This window comes from Homo sapiens, chromosome 3, assembly GCF_000001405.40.
Source record: "Homo sapiens chromosome 3, GRCh38.p14 Primary Assembly".
In the NCBI taxonomy this organism is placed as follows: Eukaryota; Metazoa; Chordata; class Mammalia; order Primates; family Hominidae; genus Homo; species Homo sapiens.
The window spans coordinates 72876186-72900516 of record NC_000003.12 but is presented as its reverse complement, the minus strand read 5'-3'; the positions used below and the strand labels follow the sequence as shown (position 1 = coordinate 72900516).

At 42.2% G+C, this 24331-nt stretch overlaps 1 protein-coding gene and 2 pseudogenes across 2 annotated transcripts in view, besides 2 other annotated features; 1 reads left to right on the top strand and 2 right to left on the bottom strand.

The window, feature by feature from the left end:
* GXYLT2 (glucoside xylosyltransferase 2) overlaps window positions 1–12471 on the bottom strand; it is an 88870-nt gene extending 76399 nt beyond the window's left edge. For both annotated transcript variants that reach the window (NR_138564.2, NM_001080393.2), the window contains exon 1: window positions 12009–12471. Coding sequence is in view for 1 of the 2 variants with exons in the window: in NM_001080393.2 (NP_001073862.1) it covers window positions 12009–12283 (275 nt within the window). In the remaining variant the exon portion in view is untranslated. The remainder of the gene's footprint in view (window positions 1–12008) is intronic.
* Window positions 11972–12101: a silencer, noted in NCBI's record as "silent region_14532". NCBI's record gives its function as "represses an Ori minimal core promoter by ATAC-STARR-seq in GM12878 lymphoblastoid cells {active_cell/tissue: GM12878}" and the evidence as "EXISTENCE:reporter gene assay evidence [ECO:0000049][PMID:35858748]".
* Window positions 12202–12431: a silencer, noted in NCBI's record as "silent region_14531". NCBI's record gives its function as "represses an Ori minimal core promoter by ATAC-STARR-seq in GM12878 lymphoblastoid cells {active_cell/tissue: GM12878}" and the evidence as "EXISTENCE:reporter gene assay evidence [ECO:0000049][PMID:35858748]".
* On the bottom strand, window positions 15638–16285 carry LAPTM4BP2 (lysosomal protein transmembrane 4 beta pseudogene 2; annotated as a pseudogene).
* Window positions 22357–23848, top strand: PSMD12P1 (PSMD12 pseudogene 1; annotated as a pseudogene).

Sequence of the window (24331 nt, the reverse complement as noted above, 5' to 3'; positions counted from 1 at the left end):
CTTGAACTGGGGAGGTGGAGGTTGCAGTGAGCCGAGATTGTGCCATTTGCATTCCAGCCTGGGCAACAAGAGTGAAACTCCGTCTCAAAAAAAAAATAAAATTGTGATGCCATGTGGGAATGAGTGAAGTTTGTAAAACGTTGCCCTAGTTGTCCTGGCTCAAGTGTTCCCCATGCTCAAATGAAAAATGATATTCAGAATAACACAGAAGCCTAGGAGGGAGAAGCAACTTCCATGCTTCCTCTCCAGGGTGCCTGAGACAAGCGTCTCCTTAATCGCTTAAAAGTCTCAAACGTGCGACTTAATTAAACTTCAATTTCTGGAGTGTATAAATAATGAAATACGGCATTTATGTGTAGTGCTATTTACTTTGTAGCCTATTACTGCAAAACACACTGAATTATTAAAGTGAGTAATTGGTTCTACTCAGACCCTCTTTTCTGCCATCTCCTGCTACTTCTCTTATCAGCGCTTCTCCTGAACTGTCAAGCTAAATTAACTCAGGTGAACCTGAGGCTGCCATACAGACTAGCAGGGTAAGTTGGATGGAAAATCGCACTTCTTTCAAATACAGCCCTAACCCATGCTGTTGGCCACTAGTTTTACTTACAGAAGGAAACAGAAATATGTGGGGGAAAAATGGTAGAAGATGAATTTTAAGAAGCTGAATACCCTCACCTTATGGGAAGAATAGATTAGTGATGTCCCCCTCCCTAGTGGAGTATTTTGCAAGATGAAACCGTTTTTGCTATTTTAACAAGGAGAAAGTCTGCAAATGAGGAGAGAGTGGCAGTTCAGGAAGCAGAAACAACACCTTGATATGGCCCCTAGAAGAAGAGTCCGGCGATGGATAATTATAGCCATGTCAAGTGTTGGCAGTTGAGAGTTACTACTAAAGTTCCCTGCAAACCACAGGCTTTGGAAAGCATGAATCCCGACAAAAATTTTCTCCCTTGACGTCATGATTAGACTCTTCGCTCAGAACCCACACATGACACTAAGGACTTTGCTAACAGTTAAATCACTTTTAATGACCCATGGTTTCGAGTTAAATCAAATATCATAAATCTTTCAAGATAGAAGAGCTGGCATTTGCCTTGAAGTCATGGTGTTACATGAATAATGCCAAGAGAGTGCCAAAAAACTCCATGAAGGGGGCTTCATGACATTATTTGATAAATGCATTTAGTTATTAATAGTACATATTTAGCTTGGCTCATGATATCTGAAATGAGGCTGTATTCTTAAACAAAGTCTAGGTCTAACGCATGGGAGGTGTTCAGAGCCTAAAGTTGGTAATTACAGCTATGTGTATACGTGTGTGTGTTTGCTTTTAGACATCATCGTGCACATACATAAGCTTTAAAACTAGTAAGTGTCACAGCAAGGATTCAAACCCAGAGAGGGGGACTTAAGAGGCCATGCCTTTAATCTTTATGTTGTATTTGGAACCACATACAAGTAAGTTAGAAAAAGAGCCCTCTCTGGCCGGGCGCGGTGGCTCACGTCTGTAATCCCAGCACTTTGGGAGGCCAAGGCAGGCGGATCACCTGAGGTCGGGAGTTCAAGACCAGCCTGACCAACATGGTGAAACCCTGTCTCTACTAAAAATACAAAATTAGCCGGGCATGGTGGCACATGCCTGTAGTCCTAGCTCCTCAGGAGGCTTAGGCAGGAGAATCACTTTAACCCGGAAGGCGGAGGTTGCAGTGAGCTGAGATCGCACCATTACACTCCAGCGTGGGCAACAAGAATGAAACTCCATCTGAAAAAAAAAGAAAAGAAAAGAAAAAGAGCCCTCTCTGAGCAGATGAAGCCCCTACGCAAGGCTCCTGGCATGGACTGGATTTCAGTCTCCCATGCCTCCCCGGGTGCTCGGGTGCAGGGAACGATCTCCACAACAGACCTTTGCCAACTCTACCTTCCTAACCCACCCCATCTGCCATTCGCAGAGGTTATTCACATTTGTGTTGATTTATTCCCCCTCCAGAATTCTATGAAGGCACCTGGACTATTCTCATTTCATTTTTTCCCTTATGATTGTTCCTGACATATAGGAGATTCTATTTCTCCATCTCCTTCTTCTTTCCAAATTAACATGTTATTGAGATTTTAAAATATGAATCTGCAGCGCTAGTTTGAAATAAATGGCTGTTGACATACGAGGGAGAAGAATTAGATGAGGATTACATATTTCACAAAGGGGCATTTCTGTCTCATTTCCTGAAAAAGAACATGAAAGACTTTAAAGCTTAGAGGGGGGAAACGAAGAAAAATGGTCTCCCCAACTAATTTCCAGCTTCCTAAGCCTCAGGCCATCAAGGGATTTTTAATTTTTATGGTAATTTATATACTTTAAATTGCTTAATGCATATACAAGTAGTGCATATATCATAGAAAAAATTTTAAATACCACTAGCAAAAATGAGGGGCACTCAATTCCAATTTCATAACTACTGTTAAAATTTTGGTATACTGTCTTCCAGAGTTATACCCAATATATGTGGGTGTGTGTATATAAATATGTAAATATATAAAAACTTTTAAACTTGAAGTAGGATAATTTTCATACCTTGCTTTTTTCCTTACAAATCTGAACAATTACAAAAAACTAGAGAGGTTCTAACAAAAAACTAGAGAGGTTCTAGAAAGCTATCAAATGGTTCAAATTGTGAGATTTGTTCTCAGCTACAGCATGGTGGTTAGCAATTTTGCTGTAAAAGCACATGGACCTGGCTTCAAATTCTAGGCCTGCCACTTGACTGTCCTATCTTGGGCAAGTGCTTTAACCACCTTTAGCCCTCAGTTTCCTCATCTGTAAAATGGGCATACCACTGATAATGGACATCTGCTTTGGGTTTTGGGGTTTCTTACTGGCATCCATTTTTAGGACTTTTTGGTAAAAGCATCTTAATTTTATTTTGGGGACACCACTCTTTTTCTGTTCTCAGTCCATGAGGCTTGGAGGGGATGAATGAGCTGCCCCTCACCCCACCAGCTGTAAGCACATTTCACTTGTAGCCATCGGTGATTGGAAACACATGTTATTCAAGTGAGGTCAACAGAGGCAGCCCTGGGACTTTTGCTGGATGGAATTTTTCCCTTAGGGGCTACCAGAAGAGGAGGTTGCACACCCAGACCTATTGGGAATTGTTACATGGAGAAAATTTACCTGAGAGTGTCACCCACACAGAAGGAAGCAGAGCTAAAAGGAGGCAAGATTGTTAGAAATCCTGGCTTCACTTGCGACTGAAGCTTTATCTCTTTGCACTTTCCAGTTTTATGAGCCAGTTAAAACCCCTTTTATGACTAAGTGATACAAACAGATGAGCTGGTATTCTATCACGTGCAACTGAAAGAGTTCTGCCCTATCCAATATGAGTTCCTACCTCCTAGGTTATTATGAAGATTAAGTGAAATAATGCAGTGAAGTGCTTAATAAGGTACGTGGCATATTTTAAGTCATCATTCAATATTAGTTATCATCATCATTATTACTATTAACATGACATTCATCAAAAGCCTTCATTTTTCTCTAAATATGTTATATCCATGCCAAAACCAGGCTAGGCAGGGCAGCAAAAAGCATGTTATTTTATGTGTCAACATTCTACCTTACTACAAAACGGATTTGAACTGCTAGTAAACATTTTTTTTTTTTTAATGTGAGACAAGGTCTCACTCTGTCACTCAGGCTGGAGTGCAGTGGCGCTATCTCGGCTCACTGCAACCTCTGCCTCCCGGGTTCAAGCAATATCTCTTGCCTCAGCCTCCAGAGTAGCTGGGATTACAGGCACCTGCCACCATGCCCGGCTAATTTTTGTATTTTTGGTAGAGACCAGGTTTCACCATATTGGCCAGGATGGTCTCGAACTCCTGATCTCAAGCGATCTGCCCGCCTCAGCCTCCCAAAGTGCTGGGATTACAGTCTTAAGCCACCGCGCCTGGCCACACTCCTTCAGCTTTTAATGAGTACCAGGAGACTGAGATTGGTGTATCCTTTATTATATATAGAAGCTGAGTCTCAGTTTCCTCAAGTCATACCTACCCCCACAAGAAAAGGCTGCTTGAATCTGCATCTTTTTTAAAAGATATAAAACTGAAATAGAGATGGGTGTCTCACTATATTGCCTAGGGTGGTCTCTAACTCCTGGGCTCAACCAATCCTCCTGCCTCAGCCTCCCAAAGTGCTGGGATTACAGGCATGAGCCACCAGGCCCAGCCTTGAATCTGTAGCTTAGCCCTTGCTAACACTTGCTGGGAGTTTCTGGTGTGGCATGTTCGGTGTCAGCACTTTACCTGCATTGTCTCATTTTGTCACTGAGCTTATTTCTGAGAAAGCCACAATTTGCTGAGGACCGACTTGTTCAAAGTCACGCGGGTACTTAGCTGGGTCTAGTTATGGCTCAATTCCTAATGCAATGATGGATAATAATAGTACCCAGAACAGCAAATCATTTGGTGACTCCTATGAGCTAATCTACTGTGCTAGGTGCTTTATGTACATTATTATTTCACCTCTCGGATCTCAGTTTTCTGACTCATAAAAGAGAGCCATATTTTGGATTATGTATTCTCTATTGTCTTATGTAAAGCTTGGATTATAAATTGTACCATATGAGATTACAGTCTCTCATGTTGCTAAAAGAGATGGGGGATCATCTAAAAGTCACTTGAAATATATCAAGGTTACTCTTTTCTGGCACAAAATCAGCAACTCCCAATGAAGGTATCATGTCAAAAAACTTCTTTTTCCAAGAGGAGTTTTCGGAACTTCATAATTTGAAATAAATGCTGGGGAATATTTAAGGGAAACATAAAATGAATAAATGAATTCTATCTTCAACAGAAGTCTCTTTTCTTTTTATTATTTGTAAAATTGTGCTAAAATACATACAACATAAAATTTTGTCTTTTTTTTCTTTACAGTGAATTATAAATGAAGTATTCCTAAGGAAAACAAATCTGTTCTCAAATTCTCTTCCAAAGACTCTCACCTGTGAGTTTTAAAAGGAACCGTGTCAATATGGCCAATATTTACTGAATTTAGTAAAGGTGTTAAAAGCAGGTGCTACATATTCAAATTAGTCAGGACTCTCTGGTAGCAAGTAACAAATGCAAGTCAAACTAGATTAAGAAAAAAAGGGGAACTCATTACATCACAGAATCTAGAAAAGGTTGAGACAGCACAGCCAGTGAAAGGCAAGAAGCTGGCCTTGGGAACAGTGTTGGGAGCTGCCCCCCAACCCCGCCACCAGCCCACCTGACCCCACTCCGCCCTACCCCATCTGGGTTGCTCTGCGTCACTTCTCATCTCTCCATATCATCTTGGTTTTCATGAGCTCCTATTGCAGAACAGCCTTCTCCACTGGCAGAAATACAGTTGCAATCCCTGAGTTGCATAATGTAAAGCTTCAGCCACTAGAAACAGTTTGCCCTTACGCTGTTCCCTTAGCCCTCTGTTGTGCCAAACCCCTATTAACCTCAATGGGGAAAGCACCAGGTTCAAGAGGCTGAAGAAAAGACCCAGAGCCAGCAAACGAGACCTGGCGTTTTACTGGGGGCTTCCATACAGGGGAGAGAGTCCAGTGGCAATGGGCTGGGCAGGAGGACCGCCTTACATACAGTCCAGTGGCAGTGGGTTGGACAAGATGACTGCACAGCCCAGTGGGGAAGGGCTGGGCAGAAGAACCACAATTGTTTGCAAAAGGTGTGCAGTTTACATATTATAGCGTTTTCACTTGCCATCCTCCCCTCAACAACCTCCACCTGGCAATCTTCATGCAACCCAAAACTCAAGGCCTTAATCCCCTGTATAGCCCGTGTTCCACGGGGCAGGACGAGGGCTCAGATGTTCCTCACTGAATGTAAGACTGACTCTCTGGGTTGGCCACTCCAGGATTCCCTAGGTTGGAACACACATTCAGGTGCGGCTGGCATGCAGGGTCATTCTAAGGGTATGCTCAAGCTATTGCTATCAGGTACATTTACCATATAGTCTCTGATCCCAATTTTTAAAAATCCTTAAGAAAAGTCTGATTTTGCTCAGGAACCTACCTCTGGTAAGTCACCCGCAGGTTTTGATAAAGTCAAGTGCACATAACGGCTGCTCTAGGGTGTGGTGGATGCTCACTTCCTGGGTGCCCCCACCCAACTATTCCCCTTTCTCTCCATCAATAGTCCCAAGATTTTGATTTAAAAGAACCATCTAGTTCAGCTAAGATGATTTTGGATGCAGTAACAGAACCCTCAACTCCAACACAGGGCCCAAGAAACGTTAGACCTCAGGATGCCTTGATTCTGGGACTCAGCAGTGTCCTCAAGGACCTGTATTTTCTTTTTCTACTGCCCAAACAGATGGCTTCATCCTAAAGGCGATTCCCTTATGAATATGGTGGCAGCTGGGGCTATTTATTTCCTTGGTTGTATCTAGAAGATGGAGTCTTTTGTTTAATAATGTAAAATAAGTTCTTTCCTTCTGGCTGATTGGGCCAGTTTGGGTCATATGACATACCTGTGGACCAATAGCTGTTGGCAGAGAAATGAATGTATTGACAGGCTTAGTACTGGATACAAGAAGCTCACACTATGAAAGGCATGGATCATGATGGTGGGCTTAGACACTCCCTTGGGGTGACACAGTGAGACACTATCTCAAAAAAAAAAACCCAAATAATAAAAGTAATAAAAAATAAAACCTATTTAAAAGGAAAAACATTCCTCTCTTTTAATGGTGTTACTATTAAAGACCCTCACTATTCTTCGAAAGGGTATGGGACTATTTTGAATATTATTAGATAATAAGGAACTTAATACTATAAGTAAATCTTGGAACACGGCTGGCACAGGCAGGTCCTGCACCCATTCATTAGTTCATTCAACAAGTATTTATTGAATATCTGCTATGAGATCATCTATCTCTGTTTTAGGAGTTAGTGAAACAGTGATTTAAGGAGATCACTGTTAAGTGTACATGAGGGGGCAGGAGCAAATAACATACAATATTCACACAATGAGTGCTGTGAAAAACAAAAGACTACACAGGGTAAGGAAGAAGAGAGTGATGGAGAGGAGTACTCGAGCGGCTAGCAGGACCCCTCTCAGGAGAAAACATTTGAGCATAGTCCTGAAAAAAATGGAGGAGTTAGCCGTGTTAGGATGTGCACAAACATTCCAGCACAGAGAGATGCATGCTGCTGAAGCAGGAATGGGCTTGGTGTATTTGAAGCCCAGTGTGGCTGAAGCAGAGCAAGTGAATGGAGAGTGGTAGGAGAGGAGGCCAGAAAACTAAATGGAGTTGAGATCAGGCAAGGGCTCAAAGGCCACACTGGGAAACTTAAAGTTATTCTTAGTGTGACAGGAAGTCAGTCACTGGAGGGCTTTAACCAGCAAATAGGTGGACCCCATCTGGTCTACCTATCAGATTATTGAAGCGGCCGTAAGGAAAATGGACTGTAGAGGGCGCTAGAGTGGACCCACACAAACCAGAGAGTAGGCACCTGCAGGTGTCCAGCTAGGGAATGATGGTGGTTAGGAGCTCAGTAAGTAACTATGGAGTGGAAATGGTGGAACTGGGGACATATTTTTGAGACAGAACCAATAGGGCTTACTGACTGAGTAGGTGTGGAGGGTGATCGAGGGGATTCATGGACCAATCAACAAAAATGAATTGTGGATAGAATCAAGACTCACACTACATAATATCATAGATGGTACTCAAGATCCAGACACCTTTAATGTGCTCTGGGGCTATTAGCTAATTATAGGATGGCCATAGATGAAGCATTTTGCTACAGAACACCATCTCTTTTTAGCGAGACCTTTATTCAGGTTTGAACACTCTGAGAAGACTTATCTCAGACACTAAAGGGAACTGCAGGAAATGGTGCCTCTTGATGAGACACATGCTTCCTTTCATTGGAGCAGCTGGGGAGGCTGCCAAGTGTAATGTGTTTCTGTATTGTCTCCTTTCCCTCAAATTCTGGGAGGGCAGCAACTCCATTCACCATTGTACCAGGAGTGCCTGGCAGAGTAAATGTGCAATCACGTTTGCTGAATGACTATGGAATAAAATGGCAGAGGAAAACTACAGGGCTTAGAGGTATCTTAAGTCTCCCTTAGAAGCCATATTTTAAGAGAAACAACAATATCCAGGCCAACACAGAAAAAAAGAATAAAGTTCAGGACAGGGTTGCGGTTGAGTAATCAGTAAGAGCGCTAGGATGGAGCCCATAAATGAGAAACAGTGATTTTGCAAGAGTTAGCACAAAGGGCCATGCAATAACCATTGTTGGGATTTTGCTGCTAAACTTGATGATCTCATCATAGGATCATCAAATGTCTGAGCTGGAAGATATCTTAGACAACTTTTGGATTAACTTGCTCATTTCACAGATGAAGAAAATAAGGTGAAATGGCTTTGGACTAGAACCCAATTTGCTGGACTCCACATGCCAAATTCTTTTCAATATTGCACTGATTAGCAGTTAACCTTCCTTTTCTGTATGTAGGCTCAAGGAGGAGTTTTCAGAAGCAAGCTAGAGTCTTCTAATGTCTAAAATCTGTTCCCAAGTACAATTCTCATTTTATCATTCAGTTTCATGAAAAAAAAAAATCTCTCTTGATAAACCTTTCCTCTTGTTCAGTGAAAATGAGGCAGCCCATCATGGTTCCCTTTTTGAAATGGCTGCCAGGCTTAAATTGAACACTTAATCCTACTAACAAAGGTACTGTTTATTTTTGACAAACAGTATTTATTTACCCCTCTTCTTTATGACTTTTCATTTTTTATACCATTTCAATGGACTTATTGTATATGTGTCTTTTACTATACGTTGTCTTAGACTCTTTTTGGAAGTCAGCCAGCTGTAAATCACCAATAAGCCAAAATAGAAGGAAGATTTCATTTGTTTTGTGCACTGGGACTGCTGCTTCCAGAATGGTGTCCATTTTCAAATCCCCCCTTGACAGAAAAGCTCAGACCTTACTTACCTCTTGGCTTTATATTTATAGAGAAGGAGGCCACCACAGGGCAGATTGCATACAAATGACTAGTTACAAAATTGAAGGGTCTGCCTACTAACGAGGCAAATCCTTGGAAACTTCTGTGAAATGAAAACAAGATGTGGAAGGAGAGTGCTATGTTTCCTGCGTTGACGTGGCAGAATTTCACTTACAGCAGCCCCCTGTGGGAGGCGAGGCAGCACAGGCTGTGGATGGTAAGCAGGTGGTGGACTGTGTCACATCCAACTCCAGGCTCTCAGCTAACTACAACCACAAGCCTGACCCTCCCCAGGCCAGAGAAATGAGATCACGTAGCCTTCATCTCTTCTGGATTCTAGCCATGTAAAGAGATTAAAGCACTCGTTTTCTGAAAACACGAGGCTTTCTCTTCCCTCCCTAAATGAAATTCCTCCTAAACCACAAAAATTTAACCCAAGCAGAATTAGGAAAGCAATAAAGGAGACCGAGCAGAGATCTTTCCTCCTGCTCCCTCACAACTTCAGAATCTTCTGTTGCCATTTCTGTGGAGGTAGCAAGAGAAACAATAAATAAGTCCCAGAAAATGTCAACTGTTTATGCATTTGAGCCTGAGACTTCCTGTGGCTTTTGTTTTTTACTCCTTCCCCAGTTTTAAAATTTTGTTCTGTATTCCTATGGTGTTGGCCATAATTTCCACGATAATCTAAGAGATATGTTCAAAAGAAAAATGGCTTCAAGGGTACTGTTACTCCTGGAAATAGAAACACTCCTTCCCTAAAACATCCATTTGGATTCTGTTCATGATCTCCTCCTAGTCAGAGACACTTTGTTCAGATAGACACAAAAAGATGCTGCGCCACTGTTCTCGACACCTTGAAGAATGAGACAGATCCAAAAATCTACAGTGTTTCTTTAAAAGACATCTCAGTAAAATTACGAATTGCAGGCAAGTCTATGGCCTGACATCAGCATAGCAGGTAAGTGCTCAACCTGAGCCCACACTGCCTGGATCTTTATCCTTCTCTACCAGGTTACCTGTGAACCTTGGACAAACTGCTAACCCTTGTGCAATACTTTCCTCATCTGAAAAGTGGGGATACCATTGGTGCTTACTTTGCAGAGCAGGTTCTCAAACTTTGTTGTGCATGAGAAACAATGGGAGGGACGTGTTAAAACACGGTTGCTGACCCCCCAAAGCTTCTGATTCTGTAGGGTTGGGGTGGGGCCCAGGAATCTGCATTTCTAACAAGTTCCCAGATGATGCCTGTGCCACTGGTCTGAAGTCCACACTTTGAGAACCACTGTCAAAGGGTTATGGTTGGGCCCGGCGCGGTGGCTCACGCCTGTAATCCTAGCACTTTGGGAAAGGCTGAGGCAGATGGATCACTGGGCTCAGGAGTTCCTGGCCAATATGGTGAAACCCCGTCTCTCTACTAAAAATACAAAAATCAGCTGGGCATGGTGGCACACGCCTGTTTGCCAGCTACCTGGCAGGCTGAGGCACAAGAATCACTTGAATCTGGGAGGCCTGAACCCGGGAGGCAGCGGTTGCAGTGAGCAGAGATCGCAGCACGGCACTCCAGCCTGGGCGACAGAGGAAGACTTTGTCACAAAAAAAAAAAAAAAACAAAAAAAAAACCAAAAGAAAAACAGCGGTGGGGGGGAAGGTTATGGTGTGGATTATGTAGTTGTATATGTTAAGTGTTAACTGTGACTATTTGTATGTACTGCGGTTAGCACTGTCCCTGGCAATAGGTTAGCGATGTTAAGGATGACAGTTATTATTATCTTACCAGTTGTCCCATCAAACTTAGCAATCATATTAAACTTGCAGTTAAACCCTAATTAATCTCTTACAAGAAACTCCAGTATAGAAGAGGGGAAATCCTATTAATTTCCTAACAAAGATATCCTTAAAGACTGTATACATCCAGAAAGGGCTGTAAAGTGTTATAAGTACTTTAAAGCGACAGATTGTTGGGGTTTTTTCCCCCTAAAACTTGTCAGTACCCATTTGTACTGAGACAGAAGGGAAACAAAGGCTGACACAGCTACTTCTTGAGGTTTCGTGTCTTTTAGTTACAGTAAAGGCACCAAAGAGATTTAGTCATTATGGTCAAAAATAATTTTTCAACTCCTTTCAGGTTGAAATTAAGGAGCCCAGCAAACAAGGACGTTGCAATGGCAGTTAGAAACAACAGTTTTGAAAGGGCAGATGAAACAGACTCGCTACAAGACAAGGGGATTGTTGAAAAGCCCTCCACAACAAAGGAAATGAACTCAAATCCCTAACCTGCGGGGCGTTCCAGCAACCCTGAGGCCAAAAATAAAGCTCTCTGATGAAAAGCCTCCGCGTGTTAGGCTTTGTGTAGGGAAAGAGAGTATCAAACAGAAGGTCGAAGGTTAAGTTGTTTTTCTTGTAGGAGGACCCTTTGACCACACTCGAGCCTGAAACAGAATGAGGATCTGGAAACCCCCACTCTGTCTTTTCTGTGCCACGCATCAGTCCTTTCAAGGAGAAAACTTCTTTTTAATAAACTTAGGTCAAGTGTCCCTTCTGTTCTAAGCATGGGGGTACTCGAGGTTAAATGAGAGGCTGCCAGTCCTTGGTAAACATCTAACTTTTCCAACTCAACCATATCTAAGGTTTCGGTAAAATTCTCCAGTGAAACATGAGAATTAGATAAAACATTCTTGCACCGTGATGGCTTTTGACAAATTAAACAAAGGGTGCATGTTTGCAAGAGTGCAAAAATACGCCTTGCCTTGACAGTTAAAAAATGTAATGTACGAAACCACTTTCCTTGACACTTCAAAAAATGTACGTGATTATCAACACCGAGCTGTTAGGGGGACTCCACCAAGGTGGGTCTTCTTTTCTATCGGGTTAAGAAACAGAAGTGGGCAGCCCGTGGGTGAAACTTGGAAATCTGTCTCTCCAGCGCAAAGCCTCCCTTGGACTTGGCACGGGTGTAGGGAGCGAGACACGGGTCCGCAGATGGGATTCTGGGGTTGCCACGACTCACCTCGCCAACTTCTCCAGTCTCGCAGCGCCCCGGCGGCCCGCTCGGGGGCGCGGACGCGGGGGCCGGCGCCTCCGAACTCCCGGGCTGGCCCCGGGGAGGGCGCCCGGCCCCGGCCAGCGCGCGGGGACAGGCGCGGGGTGGCGCTGCGGGGCGGACGCGGGGCGCGCGGGCAGCGCTGGGGGCTCAGCGCGGCCAGCGCGCAGGGACAGCAGCGCCAGCAGCAGCGCGGCCAGCGCGAGCAAGAGCAGCGCCGCCGCCTTGCTGCGGAGCTTCATGGTGCGGCGCGGCGGCGGCGGCGGCCCCCAGGCGGCTCGGCCCCTCTGCGCATCGCGGCGGCGGCAGGATGAGTGCAGCAGCGCGCGGCGGTCGCCTCCTCCGCCCGCCCGCCGGGGACTGGGGTCGTGGCGGCCGGCGGGCGGCCGGCGGCGGCGGCGACGGCGAAGGAGGAGGAGAGAGAGGAGAGGAGGGGGAGGCGGTGAGAGCTGGGTTACAGGAGGAGCAGCCTGCGCCTACCGTACTGTGTGGAGTAGCCGCCCCTCCGCCCGCCCGCAGCCAGGCTCTCGGGCTTCTGGTAGCTCAGACTCAAAACCACTTCATTCATTCATTCGTTCGTTCGTTCGTTTACTTCCCCATTCACTCACACACCCATGCCATCCACTGTTCCCGCTGATTCTCTCATACCATGATTCACTTATTTGTTGATGTATTCCATGTGCTTCCTCCTTATTTATTTTATCCATCTATCCACACATTTGTGCACTTATCCACACATCCTTTCAGGCAGGAACATCTCTGTCCTGTTTGCCCAGTGCAGGGATCTGCGGGTGGTGGTGCCCAATAAATATCTGTTGAATAAACCCCTATTGCCGCCTCTGTCTTGCCACCTCCCTTTTTCCTGGAGGAGGACATATTCAACAAGGACACATGCAAAATAAGGCAAAGCGAGTAAAAGTAACACGTGATTAGTAGTTGGGGTTTCAGACTCAAAACACCAAAGTAGAACTTGGGACAGCTAGACTGGACCGAACCGATCCATGTAGTCTGAAGAAATTAGAGAATGAATTTCAAAGTTTGGATTTGAAATCTGACACTGTGCTTAACTGGCTTGGTGATCCTGAGGAAGCTGCACAACTTTCTTAAGCCTTAACTTCCTTACGTGCAAAATGGGAATGACAATACTGCTCACTACAGAGGCGTTTTGTGAGCATTAAATTAAATAATGCCTTCAAAGAAACTAGCACAGTGCCTGGCTCACAGTCGGTGCCCAATAAAAGTTCTGTAATGATTAGTTCAATAAAACATAGCTTATAATATACACATAAACACACATTTTATTTTCTTTCTGGCACAGATTTGAGATAGAGTAATAATTTCACAACACAATGTAAGAATGGCTTCTTTGGAGACTTTAACAGCTGCAATCGCCAGATGAAGGTCGTAATTTCCAGACGATTCTTCCAGGGGATCCCCAGTTACAAATCTGAAACATTAGGACACATCCTCTTATGACTCACGGTGAACTGACAGCCAGGACTCCATTAACTCTCTTTTCAGCACACCACAGAACAAAGAACACTAGTTAAGTTATAACAACGTCCCTGAGTTTTTCAGTTTTTTTTTTTTTTTTTTTTTTGGATCACTCTGTAGCCCAGGCAGGAGTGCAATGGTGCAATCTTAACTCACCGCAGCCTCCGCCTCCCGGGTTCAAGCCATTCTCCTGCCTCAGCCTCCCAAGTAGCTGGGATTACAGGCTGCGCCACCACACCCGGCTGATTTTTGTATATTTAGTAGAGACGGGGTTTCACCACGTTGGCCAGGCTGGTCTTGAACACCTGACCTCAAGTGATCCGCCCGTCTCGTTCTTCCAAAGTGCTGGGATTACAGGCATGAGCCACCGCGCCCAGCCCGTCCCTGAGTTTCTACAAGATTCCATGTTGCTTTATAAATAATCTAAAATTTAGTTATATTCTGAATTATTCTCATATTAGCATTTTATTTTAATTCCTTGAGAACCCATTGTATTAAAAGTTCTAGAGATGAGAATATTTAGTAATTTGGAAGCTCTTGCCAAGCAGACATCTAGGAAATGGCAGGGTGCAAGTTCAGTGTGGGGGACATGTTGTAGGTGAGTAAGCGCAAAGAATCCATTAGTTCTCAAAGATGAGGGAGAAGGTTCCATCCTACCAGGAAGCATCTGGAATTGTGGGAAGGCTGACAGGTTCTACTAGCATATGCAAAACCTCCTGCAATGCTCAGGACATACCAACAACGAAAACTATCCTGGCCCAATGTGGGACCCTGTTGAGAAACACTAGGCCAGGCTAAGGCATGATGTTTAGATCTTTCAGGTTTAGAAATGGCCACCACTCTGTTGACATGTGGCCCAGAGAAGCAGGCATTCCCAACTCTGTCTTGCCCCCTCCCTTCTACCTCTAGGAGGACAGATGCAACAAGGATAAACAAAGGCAGAGTGAGTCAAAGTAACACTTGATTAGTAGCCAGGGTTTTAGCCTCAAACACCAAAGAATCATGGACCAAAGAGAGGACTCAGTTTTCTTGAACCTCACTGAAGCCAAAAAAAAAAGCCTAATCTGCCTCCTTCCACTGAGTCCAAACTCAACTTTTGGATTTGTTTGGATTGCTCTGATTGGTGGAAAACTACATCCTCTAATTTTTTTTTCTTTGGATGTGGTCAAATCTCATTTTAGTTGCAAAAGACTTCATTTACAGCACATTCAATAATGAACCAACAGGAGAGTTGCTGACTTTGGAACATATGAATATATAAAAATCCCTCGCAATTCAGGTAGTCAAGATAATAAGCACATACAAGGAAAGCAAACCTCATTTCTCTGAAAACGTTTACATTTTAAAAGATGACTAGGCATACTTGGACGTTCAAAGCAGTAGGATGTCCCTTGCAGGGAAAGAAGGAGGAAAACCCTTTTCCGTGTTGTTAGGCAAATGTATATCAAATATATCCCAATTCCACTTGATAAAGTCAGTTGGATGACCTCCTTGAACCAGGCTAGGGCAGAACACTTAAGAGGGCCTTGGGTGGGGATGTGAATCCAGGAGAAGAGGAACACCAGATCCCATGCAGTGCCAAACACATCTGTTCCACCCTCTAACACAGATGAGGCACGTCGCCCATGTCCCTGGACACCAGATGCACAAGAACAGTCATCAGATGGTTACTGCTCCCATGGCCTGGTGTTTTCTAATGGTCTTAATTCAGGCCATGGAGAAAATCCTTTACCACCAAGCGCAAACTGTCATCGAACTTAAATCATAAAGGATGTTATGGGGGAAATTCTTGTAACACATACATAAGGACTTCTATTTAACTAATTAGAATAATGATTACATAATTGACATTCCTGTTTTCATAAGGTTTTGTTTTCTACACTGGAATGGCTTAAGAAAAAGTTGTCTATTTTTGATTTTATTTTACACTTTCAAAAGAGAGGGAACAGAGAGAAAAAATGTGACTAACTGCTCAACTTTGGGTCCCAGCAGGTACAAAAGTGGACTTCTCTGACTCTAGGTCCATCAGATTTGGGGGAAGTTTCAGTGCCTAGGGAAGGTTAGTGAAGCCCGTTACACCCCCAATCCTACAGAAAGAATTCTATAGCTAATCTATCACAGTGTTCTAGCAAAGCATACGTTAAAAACTACAGGCTTCAACCTAACATCTAAACTTTTAAAAGTAGCATTTCAGCAACAAACAAGCTCAGAGAGCTCATTGCAGAAGTGAAATAACAGAACTATTTCGCAGATGTCCTAAAAGTCAAGCTGCTGCCCTCAGCTCTGCCCACTTGAAGGCTTAGGCAGACATGGAAGGTGGTGGTGGCTCCTTGGCAGCACCATTCACAGTGGTATCATCATACAGGGGCAGTGTCATTGCTGGTAATGTAAGTCAGGACATCAGAGGAGTTCCTGGCATTGATAGCAGTTCCAAAACAGCTAATCAAGTAACCCTTAAAAGTCAAGATAATGCTAATAAACAGAAGAATAATAAGGACCAAACAGGTAGGATTCACTGACATGACATCATCTCTGTAGGGAAAATTCGGAGGCAGTTGTCGTATGTATTCCTGAATGCCGTTTGGATAAACAAGCACAGTGATTGCAACCAAGGTATTCAGGGCAAAATTAAAGATCTGGTAACAGAAGAATGGGAGGATCTAGGCTATGTGTTGCTTGTATGCTCTGTAAGTAGCCAATAGCACATATCAGGATCATGAGAAGAGAAATCACAATGGCAATGCACATGTAGTTCCACATGGCTGGGGAGGCCTCAGAATCATGGCAGAGGGTGAAAGGCACTTCTTACCTGGTGGTGACAAGACAGAATGAGCTACATCCTCTAATGTTATAGAAAAGGCTTCTAGACTCCCTTACCCATGGCTTACCCAATGTCTCACTTAGATGTCTGATAGAAAAAAAATGCTTAATTTTAATGCTTTATAAATCATCTAAAATTCAATTATATTCTAAATCATTGTCATATTAGCATTTTATTTTAATTCGTTGAGAATCCACTGTATTAAAAGTTCTGGATGTGGGAATATTTAATAATTTGGAAGCTCTGAAATCTATTTTTTCTCCTAGAATCTTGACACCTCTAGTTACCTAGTTGCTCAAGCCAGAAATTAGGTGGAAACCATCCTCTTTCCCTCACCTCTTATATTACTGATCTATTGTTGCAAAAAAAATGACCCCAACATTTAGTGGCTTAAGATAATATGCATAATCTCATAGTTTCTGTCAGTCAGGAATCTAGGGATAGCTTAGTTGAGCCCTCTGCTTCACAGTCTCTCACAAGGCTATAATCAATTGTTGGCCCAGGTCTGTGGTCTCATCTGAAGGCTCAGCTGGGGAAAGATCTGCTCCTGGTTTCACTCACATGATTGTTGGAAGGATCCAGTTTCTTTTTTTTTTTTGAAATTCAGCTTATCAGTCTTTTCTCTCAGGGTTAGTAGGTTTGGTGTTTTGTCTAAGAAATCTTTGCCTACCTCTTGGTCTCAAGAAATTCTTTTATCTTCTTTTACAATAGAGCTGTCTGGGCTGGGCATGGTGGTTCACACCTGTAATCCTAGTACTTTGGGACAGGAGATGGGAGAATCACTTGAGGCCAGAAGTTCAAGACTAGCCTGGGCAACAAAGTGAGACCCTATGTCTACAAAAATAAAAATAATAAATAAAAGATAGAAGTTTCTGTGATAATGGTAATGTTCAATATCTTTTCCATCCAATATGGTAGTCCAACAACCCCATGTGGCTGTGGAGCACTTGAAATGTGGCTGGTACAACTAAGGAAATGATTTTTAATTTTATTTAATTTAAATAGTAACATGGGGCTAATGGCTGCCATGTTGGAAAGCATAGTTCTAGACTCTATATTATTTGATTTTTCACAGGTAGATCTACAACCGATCGTGGATTATTTTTACCTGTAAGGTATAAAGGCAGAGGACAGGATTTATGTTTTTCTATGGATATTTAATTAACCCATTTGTTAAAAAGATCATCTTTCTCTCAGTGAATATTATTAGTATTTGTTGTAAATCAGCTGACCATTTATACCATTGTAGAATATTATACAGCTTTTAAAAAATAATAAATTAGAAGGCAGAAAAATATGAGCTCACGTTCTGTAGTAAAATTTCTTAGGGTCAAATATTAGCTCCATTCCTTACTAGCTGCACACTTCTGGGCAAGTTACTTTCTCTTCCTAAGCTTCATGTCCTCATGTATCAAATGAGGATAATAATAGCATTTATATATTTCTTGTGAGAATTAAGTGCAGCAATTCTATGTGAAATTAATGGTTACCATAAAGCATTCATTGTCAACTACTAGTTGTTAGCTATTCATCCTAACTTGGCCCAATCTGGAGCCCTATCCAGCAAACATTGATCTAATAAAGCAGCGATTAAGGAGTAATATATATTTATTGATATTATAAAATATTTATTATATCTGTGTATATATATATATACATATATTCCTATTTTGAAGTTACATCACAAATGCACTAATAGTAGTAGTCATTATTAACATTCATTATGTCTTACTAAATGCTAGTTCCATTCTAAGAACTTTACATGTGTTAACTCATATAATCTAAGGGGTAGATGCTATTATGTCATTTATTGATAAGGAGATTAAGACACAGAAGAGTTAGCTAATTTGCTCAGCTAAAAAGAAAAAGCAGATACGACTTCTGGTTTCCAGTCTGTCAAACAACAAGTGAAAAGTTGCACGAACTGAAATTTAACAATTATTTTTAGGTCCATCAGAGAAGTAACATCACAGGGCAAACCATTGTCCCAGAATTTGAAAAGCCAGGGAAATACAGAGAATTAAGTGCAACTTAACCCAAGCAGAAACCTCTGCAGGAACCAGTGCTGGGGTAGGAAAACCTAAACTATAATTCACAAATTGCTGAAGGCTTAGTGTGGAAAAGTCAGAAAGTTAAAAATCCTGGTGGTTGGTGGGGCTCAGTCTTACAGGACCCACACTTCTGTGAGTTTACCTCCAGGAGCTCTGCCAGGTTCTCACAGTGAACACTAGAGGAAAATCCCCTACTGCTCTGGCAAGGGGAGGAAAACGTAATCATTTTTAAATACATCAGGTCTTCTTCCTGCCCTCAAGAGAAACTATTTTTTATCATCCTATTGGGGTTTATCGGAGCTTAAGTGAACTGGGGAAGGGAAATACCCAACTTCAGCTCCCTTTAACCATCCTGTCCCACCTACGTAGAGGGGGACTGGAAGCACTTGTGAAGTTTCTAGCCAAGGGGCATAGGCTCATTAAAATCAGCGACCTAATCATAGGACTATAGAATGCTTCCCCTCCCGACACCTTACCACCATATCACTAAAAGCCTATTTACCATAGTTTATTTTCTCTATTACATTGTATACAGCATGTAACAAAAAATTGCATGGCATACTAGAAGACTAAAAATACAGTTTGAAGAGACAATGCAAACACTAGAACTAGACTCAGATATGCCACAGATGTTGGAATTATCAGACTGGAAATTTATTTATTTAATTTTTTTGGTAGATAGATTTTACTTTTTTTTTTATTTCAATAGGTTTTTGAGGAACTGGTGGTGTTTGGTTACATGAATAAGTTCTTTAGTGGTAATTTCTGAGCTTTTGGTGCACCCATCACCTGAGCAGTGTACACTGTACCCAATGTGTAGTTTTTGTTTGTTTGTTTGTTTTGAGACGGAGTCTTGCTCTGTCGCCCAGGCTAGAGTGCAGTGGCACAATCTCGGCTCACTGCAAGCTCCGCCTCCCGGGTTCACCCCATTCTCCTGCCTTAGCCTCCCCAGTAGCTGAGACTACAGGCACCTGCCACCATGCCTGGCTAATTTTTTGTATTTTTAGTAGAGACGGGGTTTCACCGTGTTAGCCAGGATGGTCTCGATCTCCTGACTTCGTGATCCGCCCACCTCGGCCTCCCAAAGTGCTGGGATTACAGTTGTGAGCCACTGCGACTGGCCCCCAATGTGTAGTTTTTATTCCTTGCCACTCCCCACCCTTTCCCCCATGTCCCCAAAGTCCAATGTATCATTCTTATGCCTTTGCGACCTCATAGCTTAGCTCCCACATATGAGTGAGAACATACAATGTTTGGTTTTCCATTCCTGAGTTACTTCACTTAGAATAATAGTCTCCAATTCCATCCATGTTGCAGAGAATGCCATTATTTCATTCCTTTTTATGGCTGAGTAGTGTTCCATGGTATACATGTTCATTGATCGATGGGCATTTGGGCTGGTTCCATATTTTCGTAATTGCAATTTTGCTGCCTAAACATGCAAGTGCAAGTATCTTTTTCGTACAATGACTTCTTTTCCTCGGGTAGATACCTAGCAGTGGGATTGCTAGATCAAACAGTAGAACTACTCTTATTTCTTTAAGAAATCTCCACACTGTTTTCCATAGTGGTTGTACTAGTTTATATTCCCATCAACAGCGTAAAAGTGTTCCCTTTTAACCACATCCACGCCAACATCTATTATTTTTTGATTTTGTTTTATTATGGCCATTCTTGTAGGAGTGAAGTGGTATTGTATTGTGGATTTGATTTGCATTTCCCTGATAATTAGTGATGTTGAGCATTTTTCCATATGCTTGTTGGCCATTTGTATATCTTCTTTTGAGAACTGATCAGACTGGAAATTTAAAACAACTATGATTTATAATCTAAGGGCTTTGTCTTAGTCCACTTAGTGTTGCTATAAAATGATGCCTGAAACTGGATAATTTATTTTTTATTTTTATTTTTTTGAGATGGAGTCTCGCTCTGCTGCCCAGGCTGGAGTACAGTGGCAAGAGCTCGGCTCACTGCAACCTCCACCTCCTGGGTTGAAGCGATTCTTCTGCCTCAGCCTCCCAAGTAGCTGGGATTACAGGTACCTGCCACCATGCCCAGCTAAGTTTTGTATTTTTTAGTAGAGACAGCGTTTCACCATGTTGGCCAGGCTGGTCTCGAACTCCTGACCTCAAGTGATTCACCCATCTTGGCCTCCCAAAGTGCTGGGATTACAGGTGTTAGCCACCATGCTTTGCCTATTTTTTTAAAGAGGTTTATTTGGCTCACAGTTCTGCAGGCTATAGAAGAAGCATGGCATCAGCATCTGCTTCTGGTGAGGGCATCAAGCTCCTTCCACTCATGGTGAAAGGTTAAGGGGAGCCAGCCATGTGCAGAGATCACATGGCCAGAGAAGAAGCAATAGAGCAAAAGGGAGGAACCAGGCTGAAAAAGAAATGGAACAGAATATCCAAAAAGTGTGGGGTAACTACAAAGGTATATGTAATTTATGTGTAATGAGAATACCAGAAGGAGAAGAAAGAAACAGAAGAAATATTTGAAGCAATAATGACTCAGAATTTCTTCAAGTTAATGTCAGACATTGTCTTAGTTTATTTTGTGTTGATATAACAGACTGGATAATTTATTTTAAAAAGAGATTTACTTAGCTCAATTTTTTTTTTTTTTGAGACAGAATCTCACATTGTTGCCCAGGCTGGAGTGCAGGCACGATCTTGGCTCACTGCAACCTCTACCTGCTCGGTTAAAGTGATTCTTGTGCCTCAGTCTCCTGAGGAGCATACTTCCACGCCTGGCTAATTTTTGTATTTTTAATAGAGACTGGGTTTCACCATCTTGCCCAGGCTGGACTCGAACTCTGACTTTAAGTGAGCCATCCGCCTCAGCCTCCCAAAGTGCTGGGATTACAGGCGTGAGCCACTGTGCTCAGCCTACTTAGCTTAATGTTCTGTAAGCTAGGAAGTTAAGGGTGTGTGGCTTCTGGCAAAGGCTTTTGCACTGTGTCATAACATGGCGGAGAAAGTAAAAGGGGAAGTAGACACATCCAGAGAGAAAACCCAAGGGGCATTCTGGCTTTATAATAACCCACTTTTGAGGGAACAAATCCATTTTCTCAAAAATGAATTTAGTCTCGCCAGAGTGAGCACTCACTTACACCCACAAGAACAGCACCAAGCAATTCATGAGGGATCTGCCACCTTGACCCAAACACCTCCCAGGAGGTCCCATCTCCCCACACCACCACATTGAAGATTAAATTTCAACACGAGTTTTGGCAGGGACAAACAAACCATATTCAAACCATAGCAGACCCTAAGCCACAGATCCAAGAAGCTCAGAAAACTAAGCAATGTAAGTGTGAAAGAGAAAAAGAAAGAAAGAGACTATACCTAGGCATATCATATTTAAACTGCATAAAATCAAAGGTAAAGAAAAAAACTTGAAAGAAGTCAGAAAATAAAATCTTAACTGTAAAGGAGTAAAGATGAGAATTACATCTGACTTCTCCTCAGAAATCATGCAAGCGAGAACAGAGTAAGGAAATACATGAAGTGTTGAAGAAAAAAAAAACACGAGTCTAGAACTCTGTATCCTGATAAATTATCCTTCAAAAGTGAAGGAGAAATAAAGAATTTCTTAGACAAACAAAAATTGAGGGAATTTGTTGCCAGTATAATTGCTTTGCAGGAATCGTGAAAAGAAATTCTTCAGAGAGAAGGAAAATGATGTAGGTCCAAACCTCGGATCTACATAAAGAAAGGAAGAGCTTAAGAGAATGAATAAGTGAAGATAAAATACAACACATATTTTTAAAAATTCTTAATTGATATAACAAAAGGTTTGTTCAAAATAATAACAATGTATTTGATGATTAAAGCTTATGTATAAGTGGAAGGAATGACAGTAATAACACAAGGGATGGGAGGGAAGTATTAGGAATATTTTGTTATTATAAGACATTTGCGGAGCAGGTGCGCGGGCAGCTTCCGGTGTGGGTGATGAGTGGTGGCCAAAGCAGGGGGACAGCAAGGGACACTCAGGCAGAGACCATGGCAGACGGCCACTTGCAGCAGGCTGACGGGCGCATATTCAAAATGGAAGTGGACTACAACGCCACGGTAGATCAGTGCCTACCCGAGTGTGAGAAGCTGGCCAAGGAAGGAAGACTTCAAGAAGTCATGGAAACCCTTCTCTCTTTGGAAAAACAGACTCGTACTGCTTCTGATATGGGGTCAACATCCCAAATCTTAGTTGCAGTAGTGAAGATGTGCTATGAGGCTAAAGAATGGGATTTACTTAATGAAAATATTACACTTTTGTCCAAAAGGCGGAGTCAGTTAATACAAGCTGTTGCCAAAATGGTTCAATAGTACTGTATTTATGTTGAGGAAATCACAGACCTTCCTATCAAACTTCAATTAACTGATACTCTATGAATGGTTACCGAAGGCAAGATTTATGTTGAAATTGAGTGTGCTCGACTGACTAAAACATTAGCAACTATAAAAGAACAAAATGGTGATGTGAAAGAGGCAGCCTCCGTTTATAGGAGCTACAGGTGGAAACCTATGGATCAATGTAAAAGAAAGAGCAAGTGGAATTTATTTTGGAGCAAATGAGGCTCTGCCTAGCTGTAAAGGATTACATTCGAACATAAATCATCAGTAAGAAAATTAATACCAAGTTTTTCCAGGAAGAAAATACAGCGAAATTAAAGTTGAAGTACGATAATTTAATGACTCAGCTGGATGAACATGAGGGATCCTATTTGTTTATTTGTAAGCACTACAGAGCAATATATAATACTCCCTGTATACAGGCAGAAAGTGAAAAATGGCAGCAGGCTATGAAGAGTGTTGTACCCTATGTTACCCTGGCTCCTTTTGACAATGAACAGTCAGATTTGGTTCACTGAATAAGTGGTGACAAGAAGTCAGAAGAAATTCCCAAATACAAGGATCTTCTAAAGCTTTTTACCACAATGGAGTTGATGCGTTGGTCCACACTTGTGGAGGACTATGGAATGGAATTAAGAAAAGGTTCCGTTGGCAGTCCTGCAACTGATGCTTTTGGTTCTACAGAGGAAGGCGAAAAAAGGTGGAAAGATTTGAATAACAGAGTTGTTGAACATAATATTAGAATAATGGCCAAGTATTATACTCGGATGACAATGAAAAGGATGGTACAGCTTCTGGATCTATCTGTTGATGAGTCCGAAGCCTTTCTCTCAAATCTAGTAGTTAACAAGACCATATTTGCTAAAGTAGACAGATTAGCAGGAATTAACAACTTCCAGAGACCCAAGGATCCAAATAATTTATGAAATGACTGGTCTCAGAAACTGAACTCATTAATGTCTCTAGTTAACAAAACTACACATCTCATAGCTAAAGAGGAGATGATACATAATCTACAATAAGGGTCTTAATGCTTTTAAAAAAGAGTTAAAATTTGAAGTCATTTTTTGTTTAAAAAAAACTGTTTAAAAAAAAGACATTTGCATTACCAGCGAAATGATACAGTGTTATTTGAAAATGGGCTGGATGTAGTGGCTCACATGTGTTAATTCCTGAACATTAGGAGGCTGAGGTGGGAGGATGTAATCCTAGCACTTTGGGAGGCTGAGACAGGAGGATCACTTGAGCCCAGGAGTTTGAGACCAGACTGAGCAACACAGGAAGGCTGTATCTCTAAAAAAATAAAAATAAATTAGCTGGATGTGGTGGCTTGTGCCTGTGGTCTCTCAGCTACTTGGGAGGCTCAGGTGAGAGGACTGCTTGAGTCCGGAAGGTCAAGGCTGCAGTGGACTATGATTGCACCACTTTACTCCAGCCAGGGCAACAGAGCAAGACCCTGTCTCTAAATGAATAAATGAATGAATGAATGAATAAATAAATAAATAAATAACTCAGTCTGTGGTATTCTGTTGTAGCAGCACAAAATGAACTAAACAGTGGAGAATATAG